The following is a 14,148-nucleotide window of genomic DNA, read 5'->3' as shown; positions in this document are numbered from 1 at the left end:
TCACATTTTTTATTAATATAAATTATACTGTTATAAGTTATTAATCAAATATATTAATTTGGATTGTCCAGCACATTTTTATTAGTGTTTCCATATAGAATATGACTCTTGAAAATAAAAAGAATGTTTGTTAGCCCCATAAAGAGTATTTGTTTTACTAACAATTCAGTATCCTAAAATTTTCCGTAGAAAATATAATTTTCTAATTGTCATGTTTCTTGAGAGAATTAATATGTGAAATAACAGTGAAGAGAAATTTTTATAATAAGTGTAATTTATAGATGTTACAGAATAAAAATGATCCATGAAGTTAAAAAGTAAGTAACAGTCACAAAGTAGTTACCTAAGAAATACATGTATCATGTTGGCCATGTGGCAGTTTCTGTCCTAGCTGTTTTTTAATGTGTTAGCTTTTAAAATTACCACAATCCTGTGAAATAGATTGTGACTCCATTTTTAAAACAATTTCAACTTTTATTTTAGATTCTAGGGGTATATGTGCAGGTTTGTTACTTGGGTATATTGCATGATGCTGAGGTTTAGGGTACAACTGGTCCTGTCACCCACGTAGTGAGCATCACACCTAATAAGTAGTTTTCAGCCCTTGCCCCCACCCCATAGTAGTCCCCAGTGTCTGGTTGTTGCCGTCTTTATGGCATGACTTCATTTTTATCAATAAAGAAACTGAGGCTCAAAGAGTAACTCATATTTTTGACATCACATACCTTTTACATAACGGAGGTGGTTGCTCTGAATTCTCATCTTCATATACTTCCATGTAACTACTTACATAATTTCCTTTAGGCAAACTAGATTTAAAGAAATGGAACTGTTGATCAGAACAACTGTGATAGCGCATTCTTGAAGCTCAATGATATTTTCAGCAAAGATATATGAAAATTATCGATGAACTTAAGAAATGACTAAATGAATAGTGCCATATACAACTGACAACTAAAGTCTTTGCCCCTTGTAAGAAATTAATGAGGGTTTAATTTAGTTGTTTAACTAATTAGTTACCAAAATTATTTAACCTTAATTAATGAGGGTTTAATGAAGTTGTTTAACTTAGAGTTAGCCTTAGAGTTTAACTTGGAATTAGCTACCTATGAAAATAGCATCAGCAACAACTCATAACAACTTAAGGAAAATTATGGATAATGAAAGAACTTAAGATTTTTAGAACGAGTAAGAGCAAAATCACAGCGAAATTAAGCAGTTTTAGTATGTCACATTATCCTAAAGAGGATGAAGAGCCTGGATTATGTAATGGGGTAGTAAGAATGACAAAGTTATATGATTTAGTGGAAGAGATTGCAAGGGATAGTTCTATAGCTTCTATTTAAATAGGTCACTGATAAATACATTATGTCTTTCTGTTAAATCTGTATTAGGAAATTCTGTTCATAATTCCTTCTAGGAATTTCTGTGTGTTATGTTCAGTTTTCAGTGGAAAAGTTTCAAATAATAAAAATACTACATACCTATACTAGTTTCTGCTTGTTCTGTTTGTATACTTTAACTTTTTTTAGAATATAATACAACCTTATTGCTAAAAACCACAACTGGTAAGATATCTTGGGTAAATAAGCCTTACTATTGCCCCTAACCTTACCTTAATTTTCAATCAAAAGACTAACAAAGAATACTGGATTTGATGAACTTAGATCAAAAGGTTGTCACAAAAACATCTGGTGTGTAAGGAGATTAAAAGCAAGAGAGGATAAAGTAGAATTAACCAAGAGCCAATAGGCAAGGGATCCTAGGAGTATCCTTTAAACACTAGTGGATTAATAAGTCACCAAGAGTTAGGGTTGATATAGAGGAATGAAATCCCAGACAGTAGTGCTTGTTCCTCAGAGGTAGGTGTTACAAACAGAGGGTTCAGCTCTCCTCTTATTTAAGGGTTTGCCGAGGCATCACAGTAAAATTGACTTCTTTTTGAGAGAGGTAAAGCTCTGACTTCCAGCTTGAAATTTAGCCTCTGACTTGTCTGGCTTCTCTCATTCTCTCCAAGTAGATATCTGCCTTAGAACATTAATGAAAGCCAAATTCCAAAACAGCAGTGCCTAACATTGCTCTGTGTGCAAACAAGTCTGCCTGAGCAGGCATGAACATGAATATGTACCTGAAGGCCAGAGAGAACAGTGCAGAATGTGCAGGAGGGCTTTGCAAATCTGAGGTGGCTCTATGGAAAGACACTAAGTATGTCAAGACTAAAACTAGAGGTGTGTGTGTTTGAAGAGATTATTTCTGCTTACTAGTTTCTGCCTGTCTTATGCTTGTTTTTAATTTATCTCATTCATTTATTTAAATTGCCTTTAAAAAATAAAAATAAAAAAGCTAAACATAAATAAATAAATAATTTTCCTTTTAATGTCCCTGGCAGTCTTTTCATAGGTTTGTTTTAAATATGTTAGCCAATTAAGACTCAAAATTTTGGGAATAGGTTGTATGCAGGAGCAAAGCAGTCAAATGTTTTCTAATTAAGCAGCCAGGAACTTTTCACTTGTCTGAGTATGTAGTTGGATAGCAATTATTTTGTCCATTGTTTGCATTTTGAATGAGAATATAATAGGGCCATCATATTTCATTATATTAAAGTTTAAAGATGCTGTAATTGTGAAGGTTAGATTGTAAAGCTGTGGTCAGAGTCATCTTGTTTAATAGCATGACCTGGAGGCCGGTGATTCAGTCACATGCGTGAATTCAGTCACACCTTAGAAGCTAAACTGGATTGGACTGGTTTAATACCGGGAGGAGGCCCTTTAGGGTTTGAAATGTTCCCATAGGAAGTTGGCTTAGTGTTGACTTAGCCTTCAGGCTGCAGAATCCAGAGGTATGAGGGTGTATGTATGTGTGTGCATACACATGGCCATGGGCTGTAGTTTGGCCACAAGCCAGACACACACAGAGCCTGAAAGTTATCAATTAAAAAGTAGTTAACAGTATTTCAGCTTGTGTAGAAAAAATCAAATTGCTTATTTACCTTGCCAAGTGAACTCAAAATGATTGAACTTTGAGAACAGAAATGGATGACTTCTAACCATTATCACATTTTAAAATTCTTAGAGTTAATGTACACTGCTTATAATGTAGTGCGTCTGCATCCAAGTGAGGTGTAAGAGTTAGTGTCTACATCTGGTGACCATTTTTATTGTATCTATATGGTTTTACCTACAGTTTGGGAGATGTAATTTGGCATGTAATATTTGGAGGAAATATCTGAATATATTACTTTCTTTTTATGTTCCTGGCCTTCTTGCCTAGATTAATTTACAGAAATTCTCTGTAATATGAAGCCTCCCATTACTGTGTGTTTTGTTTTGTTTCTTTGTTTTGTTTTGTTCTGTTTTGTTTTGTTTTGAGATGGAGTCTTGCTCTGTCACCCAGGCTGGAGTGCAGTGGTGCGATCTTGGCTCACTGCAACCTCCACCTCCCGGGTTCAAGCAATTCTCCTGCCTCAGCCTCCTGAGTAGTTGGGACTACAGGCATGACCCCCCCGCCCCCATGCCCAACTAATTTTGTTGTATTTTTAGTAGAGACAGGGTTTCACCATTTTGGTTGGGCTGTTCTCAAACTCCTGACCTCAAATGATCCACCTGCCTTGGCCTCCCAAAGTGCTGGGATTACAGGCATCAGCCACCTCGCCCGGCCAAAAAAGATCTTTATAGATGTGATGTAAGGTATAGCCCACATTCTCCTACTTCCATTTTTGAAGCAGAAAACTGAAAAAGTGACACAGCCACGGTAGGAAGATAGCTCATCTGGTTGTCCTCTTCATGGGAGACTGGCAAACCTAGTTGCAATTTCTACAGCAGGCACTTGTTACCACAGTCCTACTTTTTCTTGTATCTGTGATTTTTAAAAAATACCATATGGTATTCTATTGTATGTGTATAACATTTTGTTTAGAGTGCCTTATTGATGGATATTATGTTGTTTTTTGCTTTTAAAACTGTTGTACTGAACTTTGTATGTGTCTTTGTGAGGCATGTGAATATATCCATAGGATAAGGTCCTGGAAGTGGAATTGCTGGGACAAAGGGTATTACATTTAAAATTTTGAGACGTACTTCTGAATTGTCTGCCAAAAGAGTTGTACTGATGCATACCTCTTCTGCACTGTTTCCCCTCCATGATGCCTTTGAGAAAGAAACACTTCTTAACTTGTTAATTACCTTTTAGCAGGTCTAAGCCCCACTCTTTTTTTTCTATTCTTTCTTTTACTTTGCCCTTTCATTCATAAAATTATTTCTTTTCAGCTTTTAAAGATGTGCCCGTGATGAAATTGAAGGCCTATGTTTCACTCAGTTTGATGTGCAAGCTGTTAGTCTAAGCATGCATGTATTACGAGTTTAGGGGGAAAAGTGACGAAGTAAGTTGACAAATTTCAGTGATGTGATCATTTAAAAAGTTAGAGGGTCGGCCGGGCGCGGTGACTCACACCTGTAATCCCAGCACTTTGGGAGGCCAAGGCGGGCGGATCACCCGAGGTCAGGAGTTCAAGACCATCCTGGCCAACATGGAGAAACGGCGGCTCTACTAAAAATACAAAAAGTTAGCCAGGCCTGGTGGCAGGTGCCTGTAATCCCAGCTACTCAGGAGGCTGAGGCAGGGGAATCGCTTGAACCTGGGAGGCGGAGGTTGCAGTGAGCTGAGATGGCACCATTGCACTCCAGCCTGGGCAACAAGAGTGAAACTCAGCCTCAAAAAAAAAAAAACTGTTAGAGTGGGGCTGTCTTGAGTTAGCTTATGAGAGTGCCTATCACTCTCCTAGAGATTTAGGAAGTATGTAATCAACATGAGTTTCCCCTCCCCCCGCATGCTGCCACTGATCCACTAACAATAGGGCTGTAAAGCTTGAGGGAAGATGGGTTTTGATCAAAACTCTCCTTACTTAGAAACTTGACAAGTCCTGCCTTTGTCATGTTTCCCTTTAGCATTCTCTTACCTTTCTCTCACATGAAGATTTCTTTTACATTACAGGAGCAGCCGGTATATGTAACTCTATCTGTTTTTCTTTGATAGGTTCATCTATTTGTTTTAACACTTCTTGTATTTTGACTTGATTATTCACATTATCATCTTAGCCTGTGATATGAAGTAGTTTGAGATTTAGTTTTCTACCATAATAAAAATAAATTGATTCCCACTACCCCCTTTTTGGGGAGGGTGTATTTATCCTTATTAGTCACTAAAGTTTACTTAAATTTTCCTTTTATTCACTAAAATATAGGTACTGGAGGAGTTACTTCTCTATCAACATCAATACCATTCTCTGTATTCATTAAAATTTAGGCTGTTAATGGGATTGATTGTTCTTTGTGAAGTGAGAAAGTCATAATTCATTAGATATGTTTTAATTATTGAATTTGTTAGACTCTAACCTTGAAGTACTAACTAAGCTTGCTATAAATATACTGTTTCTCATCTTTGCTGTCTACCTTGTTGTTAATGGAGAGTCACTTTGTAGAAAAAAATATACTGTTTCTCATCTTTGCTGTCTACCTTGTTGTTAATGGAGAGTCACTTTGTAGAAAAAAAAAAAAGAATGTTTGAAAAAACTCAGGCACCTAGTTTTGAGAACAAGGGAAAATTACCTTCATAGCTTGTTGCTAATCTGTGCCCAAATATGAGCATGAAGGGATGTCTACACTGAGTTACGCAGGCCTTTTTTTTTTTTTCTTTTTTTTTTTTTGGTGATTGCAAGGTGAGGTGCTTTTTGCACCAATAAGAACAGTAAGGACATGCTAAGTCTGAGCATGATTTAATCGAAACAGTCATCTTCAGGAATTTGTTACGGTAACTTCTCTGCTATCATAGGATAAGTGAGGCATATGATCTTTTGAAAAGCAGATGTTAAGTGGCATATGTGTCTTCAGTCACCTCTGTGTGGGTTGTTCTGTAGTATAGAGGGTGTTCTAAAAATGATCTTTAGGAATGGAGTGAGGCTTGTTTTTGTTTTTGTTTTGTTTTACACTTCCACACAATCCCTTTTCAATTCCTTGCAAACTGCTGAGTATGTACTATTTTGCCAGCAAAGGCTGAGCCTGTATGAACCCAGCCATGTGCTTTGTCTGTGCATGTCCCCACACAGGAAGCACACCAGAGAAAGCGATACTTCAGGGTAGATTGATTTCATTAGAACTTCATTATCACCAGCCTCAAATGGTTCTGGCCAGCAGTCTTTTTCTATCTGTATGATTAACCCTTCTCTTCCTCACAGCACCTCCTCCCACCACCTTTTCTCAGTGTTAACAGGTGATCTAGACTCCTACTCTCAGAGAAAATTGAAGCCAACAAGTAGAAAGTCTTTTTTGCTACCAAAGACACAAACCTATCTTCTTCTGCATCCATCCTCACCCCCGCTGCTGCTGTTCAACACAGGAGTCCTCTCTCCACCTACCCAAAGCCTGTCCCCTCCTGCTGTGCCCTGGATCTTATCTCTGTCATTGCCTTAGAAACCTTTCTTGTATATATTCATCTTTTTCCTTCAATAGATCTTTCTTATTGGATTTTAAGCATGTTGCAGCCTCTTCTGTTAATAAAACAACAATCAACAAAAACACTCTCCCTTAACTGCATGCTTTATTCCAGCTACTACCTTATATCATTCCTTTCCTTCAAGGCCAAAGTCCTCAGAAGAGGTGGCAATATCCTCCATCATTTCTTCACTTCATACTCATTCTTCAACACATACTAATCTAGTCTCTTACCCCATAATTCATTAAAACACTTATTCTTGGGTCATGGGTGACTTCTGTATAGCTAAATCCAGTGGATATTTTTCAGGCCTCCTCTTCCTTACATTTTAGTATTTCACCCTATTGGCCATTCTTTTCTTCTTGAAATACTCTCTCCTTTAGCTTTTATGACACTGTACTCCTGGTTTTTCTCCCACTTCTTGTCTGCTCCTGCTTAGTTCCCTCTGTAAACTTGGCCTCTTTCACAAGGCCAGTAAACACTCGAGTTTTTCAAGATTGCCTGTTGGACTTTTTCTTTTCTCTCTGTGTTGTCTCTCATCCATGCTTACAGCCCTAATTACTATAACCATTGTCATATAACTGGGTTCTGTAGATTTGACTTTCTCAATATCTCCTGACTTGGCCACTTTTTATCCACTGCTGCCACATTCTTCTGCAAGCCACCATAGCCACTTAACTGGATTCTGTGGGAGTTCTTTGACCATTTAAATTTTTTTCTCTGTCCACCCCCAGATCTGATCATTTAATCTCTTCTAATCCTCCTTAATGCATTTTGATGGCTTTTCATAGCTATTGGGGAAAAAGTTTACAATCCTTTAAGACGTTCATGAGAGTCTGCATTGTCTTGGCCCTTTGCCACACATCCAGAGCCATGTCTTACCATGTTCCCCTGGCTGCTGGCTCCCCACTCATGCACTGGTCTCCTTGTAGTCCTGTGCCCTTCAACCACAGACCTATGCATGCCTTTTTTCATCACCTGAGTGCTCTTCCACCAGGTTTTCTCCTGGTTTACTCCTGAGCTCCCTTTGGAGCTCTGAGCTCTCCATATGCACAGTGGCTGTTCTCAGTGCCTTACTTCCTGGAACATGGTAAATGCATATTAAATATTGAGTGAATGAATAAATGAATGAACTTGCTAGTTTTTTGACTGGGAAGAATTATTTCTATGTAGCATACCAAAGCATCAGGTTGTCTTCTCCGATTACCCTTTTATGGTGTTGTTTTTATGCTGATAGATACGTTTTGGTAACCTGCGCACATTGCCCTTTATACTAAGTTTCACAACTACTTTCACGTAAATCTCTTGAGATCTTGGGTAAATCAGTTGAGTTCTTTGAACCTTATGCTATAACCAGCCCATAATGTCCCCCCTCCCATACTCATACACATTTCCAGATGCTCTGTACGTGATTTTTGTTCTAACTTCTGTAATTCTTGATACTCATTTTCTGCAGAAAGAACTGAGACACAGGTTGCAGGATGTGTGTCCAAAGTCAGAGAGCAAATTAGGACTAAATCACAGGACACCTGACTCACAGCTCTGTGCTTTGTGTGTGTGTTCCACCTCAATTTAGGCTTTTCTCTCAAATATGTAAAAACTGTTTTTTAAAAATTTAAAGAATTCCTAGCTACTCGGGAGGCTGGGCTGAGGCAGGAGGATCGCTTGAACCCAGGAGGCGGGGGTTGCAGTGAGCCGAGATTGCGCCACTGCACTCCAGCCTGGCGACAGAGTGAGACTCCATGTCAAAAAAAAAGAATTACGGCCAGGCGCAGTGTCTCATGCCTATAATACCAGCAGTTGGGGGGGCCGAGGCGAGTGGATCACTTGAGGTCAGGGGTTCGAGACCAGCCTGGCCAACATGGCGAAACCCCGTCTTTACTAAAAATACAAAAATTAGCTGGGCATGGTGGTAGGTGCCTGTAATCCCAACTACTTGGGAGGCTGAGGCAGGAGAATTGCTAGAACCTGGGAGGCTGAGGTTGCAGTGAGCTGAGATTGCACCACTGCACTCCAGGGTGGATGACAGAGTGAGACTCTTGTCTCAAAAAAAATAAATAATAAAAAAATTAGATTGTGATAAGGTGCATAAAATTTACCATCTTAATCAGTTTTAAGTTGATAGTTAAGTGGCATTAAGTACATTTACTTTGTTGTACAACCATCACCGCCATCCATCTCCAGAGCTCTTTTCATCCAGTGTAACTGAAGCTGTGTACCCGTGAAACTCTAATTCCCCATTTCTCTCTCCCCCCACCCGTTGACAACCACCATTCTTCTTTCTGTCTTGTCTTTCCTTTTTAAATTGAGGAAGGAAACTGTGGTCCAGTGTTTTTTCAAGTGATCAGATATCTCAAGTCACAAAGTTTAGGTGGGTTTTTTATTCTGATTAAAAAAAATATATGTGACCAAATGCTATCTTTTCCAGGCTTCATTATTTTACAGTGTACTCCAGAGTTGGGCAAACATAAAATGACATGCCCACCCTCCCTCCTTGCTAACATTTAAATGTGTTCTTTTCTTGTATATTTAATAAAAATAAACACTGAAAAAGAGTTAAAAGGTTCACTGTCTCCTGCTGAGGGCATAAGGCAGTAGCATGTTTCTGCTTGTGGGTGCTTTTGTTTGTGTCGTTATATAATTGCCTGATGACATTGTGGATGTTTTTTCCCCAATACAAAATGCTTATAATCTTGAAAAGAAATTAAATAATTATTAGAAAGAAGGGTTTTTAACATGGTTTAGTTATCAAACTTGCCTGATACGAATCACCTGAGGGAGGGGGGAGAAACTTGTTAAAATGCAGATAACCAGGCCTTTCTTTCTATTCTTAATCTGTATTAGGACCCAAGTGTGGGAAACATTGGTATAGGACACATTGATGAGTTCTGTTTTGGTAATAATCTGGAACTTCAGCATGTTTCTTATGATTTATTTTTTCTGAGTATGTCAATACACACACATACATATACATATACATTATTGTGTTTCTTTATGGGGGTTACCAATATCATTATCATTTTGCCCAGTAGTAGAAGTATAATTTGTTCTGTATTTTCTTTATTATGTATTCTCAGCTTCATATGGGGTGTTACTGTTTAGTTAGTTCTCAGTTTATGATACCAGGATATTGCAGAGAAGAAATCAGGCTCTGTAGTCAGACAGACCTGGGTTGAAACCCTGACTGCCACTTACCAGATTTGTGTTCTTGGTCAAGTTATATAACTTCCTTATGCTTTGGTGTTTTTCCATCTGTAAATTCAGGATAATAACACAACCTACTGCTTAGGGTCAATTGAGATGATTAAGTGAGATAATGCTTTAAGTCCTTTAATGCATTGCCTGCCACATAGTAGGTATCAGTATTTATTAGTCCCTGTTGTTGTTTTGTGATTGTTATTACTTTATAAGGTATCCCAATTGGCAACATTATCAGAAGCTGAAGCTGAGGGCACATGAGAGCATAAGAAGGGAGGAGAACCTAGAAGCAGCAACATGTGCTTTTTGAAACTTTTATACTTCACCGCTGTTTGTTGTCCTCACTTCGTGCCTGCTTTCCAAATTGTTTTTTAGGAGAGACAAAGCCTTTAGGAAACCTCGAAAGGGTGTGTGCTTGTTTAGGATTATGGGGAAGCTATGACATTGTACCCTGGTCCATGTGGATTTCGATAAGGATTCTAAAACTTGGCTGGAAGCCATAGATGGTGGTTTTGTCAGTAGAAATTAGTGAAAAGAAAAGGAACAAGCCTAGGATGGAACATATCTCCAGGAATTTGAAACACTGATATGTCCCAGTCCCCATAGCTCATGTTTTTCTTTATTATTTATTTAATCCTCAAAAGTTAATGTTTTAAGCATTATGCTAGATATTGAGGATATAAACATGGACAAAACACAGGCTCTGCCTTCAGGAAGCCCATGGTTCAATATGAGAGATAGGCAGATATATAGTTATGAAAAATGTGGTAAATACAGAAATGAAGATAACAGACGGCATTTGGGAACAGAGGAAAGTACTTCCTGGAGGAAATGGTGGTGGAACCGAGTCTGCTGAAAGAATTCGAGTTGGCCAGGTAATGTCATGTACGGGGGTGAGGTATGCAGTGGACATTTCTTGAGCAAATAAAAGAGTCAGGAAAAACCTGACATATTTCTGTTTTTGTACTGGGAAATGGGCTTTGCTCTTCTCCTTACCCCCAAGACTTATGAAAGGGAAATTTCTCAAATATAGGAAAGCAGATGCAGGGTAGCCAGAACCTTACTGTTTGTATCCACATAAATAATTATTGAGTGCCAGCTGAAAGCCAGCACAACCAGCAGACTCTGAATTTAAGTCACTTTATTTTTTCATCCTTAAAAAAATCCCGATTTGGACTGTGGCCATTGATATTTCCCATATGTGTCTTTTCAGCTATTGTCACATTTTTGGTTCAGGATTTGGTAATGTTGTGTCTGCACTAAAGCACTCTTCTCTTAGCTGGCATTTTTCTTTCTCTTAGTTAACTTTAATTAGTGTCCTCTCTGCCATGTTTCTAAGTACTTCCTTTCCAAGTACTTTGATGTTGTTTCATGCTCCTTGCAGTTGAGTGTATTGGTGTTTGCCATGATATATTGTGGAAGCCTTCAGTGGTCTGTTGTGCTAATCTTTTTTTTTTTTTTTTTTTTTTTGAGGCAAAGTCTCGCTCTGTCACCCAGGCTGGGATGCAATGGCGCGATCTCGGCTCACTGCAACCTCCGCCTCCTGGGTTCCAGTGATTCTCCTGCCTCACCCTCCCGAGTAGCTGGGGTTACAGGCACCCGACACCATGCCTGGCTAAGTTTTGTATTTTTAGTGGAGACAGGGTTTCACCATATTGGCCAGGCTGGTCTGGAATTCCTGACCTCAGGTGATCCTCCCATCTCGGCCTCCAAAAGTGCTGGGATTACAGGCATGAGCCACTGCGCCCAGCCTGATCTTTAGCCATTTATATCACTGTAGAAGTCATATGTTCCTGCAGAATCCTATCTAATTCTCATGTGAGCTAATGTATTAATAAAGTTTTGGAGTACTGAAATGTTACCTTGGAGGTATCTATGCCAAAAAAATCTCTCATGCAATTTTTATGTTCAGCTAGCTTTGGCTACCTGTTAATGTAGGTGGTGATATCCTTATACTATATCCATATATCTATCTATCTATACATAAATGCCAACATACCTGTATATGTATATATACGTGTGGAGATATATATATATATATATAGCCTAGGGGAGATTGCTCTTTTAAGATGGGTGTTGTATGAAAGATAAACATTACTTTTATCCAAAATTATTTTGTATTATGACAATAGCATTTTTCTATACCTCTCTGCCCTATATTTTTAAACAAATTCAGGGCACCAAGCTTGCATATAAGTGATTTGCAATTTTTAGTCTCACTTCCAATTTCATTTTAAGGCCTTTTCTTGGTTTTATACTTCTAATTTAAAGTTTATGCTATCTTGTATTTTCTTTGTAAGCTACTTTTAATTGCTTATGAAAGAAAAGCTGGGATAAAGCTGGGATATAAACATGTTTAAAGATTATAATGTATGATAATTGGGTCATTTTGAAACATTAACATTATCATAGAATAATAAAAAAAATAAGAGAATGGCCTTTTTTTCCATAAAAAGACTAGCATTTATTACTTTAAGTGGCAAAGGATCACATTATATGATTTTGAAAGGTTTCCATAAAACAGGCAAGTTACAATAGTTAATGTTCAACTATCTAAAATATAACATGAGAACATGGTCACTATAATATAGTCTAATGCTCTTTGGTTAGTCAAACCTAAGATGGAAATGACATTTCCTGTTAACATTCCACAAAAAGATGTTACGAAGAAATGAAACCTTTAGAATGAAAGTAAGTATCTTCTATGTGTGAAAAATAAATGAAGTTTTTAAAGGTTGTGTTATCCCAGTGAGACTATGAAGAAAGAAGGTGGTGGACAGGACACACACAGCACAGGCGTCTTCTGGATGCTTCAGGCAGGTAGAGGAAAGACAGATTTGAAAGACAAAGGGACCACCACTCTGTTAGGATATGAGCTAAGGGAGGAATAGCATTTTAAATTTTATAGGCTATTACTTTTTCATAGTGGTTTTTTGTGTTTTTTTGAGATGGAGTTTCGCTCTTGTTGTCCAGGCTGGAGTGCAGTGGCATGATCTCGGCTCACTGCAACCTCTGCCTCCTGGGTTCAAGTGATCCTCCTGCCTCAGCCTCCCGAGTAGCTGGGATTACAGGCGCCTGCCATCACGCCTGGCTAATTTTTGCATTTTTAGTAGAGACAGGGTTTCGCCATGTTGGTCAGGCTGGTGTCAAACTCCAGACCTCAGGTGATCTGCCCTCTTCAGCCTCCCAAATGCTGGGATTATAGGTATGAGCCACCGCACCCAGCTTTGTAGTGGTTTTTAAAGTTTTCCCTTTTCCCATTTTTTGTTTAACTAATTTTCTTTATCTGCTGTCTTTTAGTGGAGGAAAACCATTTCAGTTTTTGTTCCATTAAAGTGTTAAACATCATGATAAAAGAGATGACTTACTCAGACTCATTGTATTCTACAGCTGCTTTTGTGTTGAAATGACTATGTCATTCTGAAGGAAGTTTTATGTTTTATTCTCTTAGCTGAAAAACTTGATTCTTCAATGACTTTATTCATTCCCTCTAGGATTACTCAGTGTTTACTTTCTTTGCTAATGGCAGGGTTCTCATAATAACATGCCATGTCTTGTTCTGAGATTTGGCAGACTTACAAAGTCTGTTTTTTATTTCCCTAAAAGGTGCAAATTTTACGGAAACAAAACGATTTTTTATTGAAAGAACTTCAGATATTTGTTTTTGTCTAGACTGCTATACATACCTGTTTACTAATCTTGAGGTTGGCAGATTCTTCAGATGTTTCTATGTGAATAAAAAATGTTACTTTTGGAGGTCTGTTATTTACTTCCATAGTTGTCAATGGATTTATTGTTCCTATAATAATTGTAGGGTCACTTTTAAAAGAGTGGTCATATTGGTGGCAGGTTGAAAACATTAAAGGATTTCCTAATAATTTCCTGGAATATGAGCATGTAGGTGATGGTAACCACATTCCCAGGTTATGAACAGTGCAAAGTGATATAAAAGTATAAGATTTTCTTGAAAGGTCTGTTTTCTCACCATAAAAGAGTACAAATTGCCACTTAGCTTTCTAATATTAATGATATATTTTCAAACAGCTTTTCATATAAGCAGCCTGCCAAGTAGTATACAAAATAATCTGCATTTCATTTCTCCCACACTACCTTTGAGCCCTCCCACTCTTTCTGTGGTTTCCCAAATGATTATTTTGAGCAAACAGGAATGCTTGTGGAGCTTGTAGAGAGCCTTTCTTTGTAAGCTATCAACAGGTTCTTACTCAGTGATTTTTTTGGGTGGTGAGTACCACTCTTTGAAGGCTTTCCTGTTTCCACATTGTTCCGGTAGTCTTTCAATGCTTTGTTTTTGAGATCCAAGTTTCCTGACTGGCTTCTAGCCTTGAGTGAAGTCTCCAATGTCCATATTTTGCCACTTTCTCTACAAGAAGCATTTGAAGAATCTTTTCCTCTCTCATGTAGATAGAGCTAGCTTCAAAGTTTCTGCATGGTTTAGGGTGTTAC

At 38.1% G+C, this 14,148-nt stretch overlaps 1 protein-coding gene across 9 annotated transcripts in view; it reads left to right on the top strand.

Annotated features, from left to right (window-relative positions):
• Positions 1–14,148, top strand: part of DST (dystonin) — a 496,835-nt gene that overhangs the window by 288,516 nt on the left and 194,171 nt on the right. The window lies entirely within an intron of this gene.

Source organism: Homo sapiens, chromosome 6 (assembly GCF_000001405.40).
Source record: "Homo sapiens chromosome 6, GRCh38.p14 Primary Assembly".
In the NCBI taxonomy this organism is placed as follows: domain Eukaryota; kingdom Metazoa; phylum Chordata; class Mammalia; order Primates; family Hominidae; genus Homo; species Homo sapiens.
Note: the sequence above shows the minus strand (reverse complement) of the source record. Positions and strands in the feature narration are given on the sequence as shown.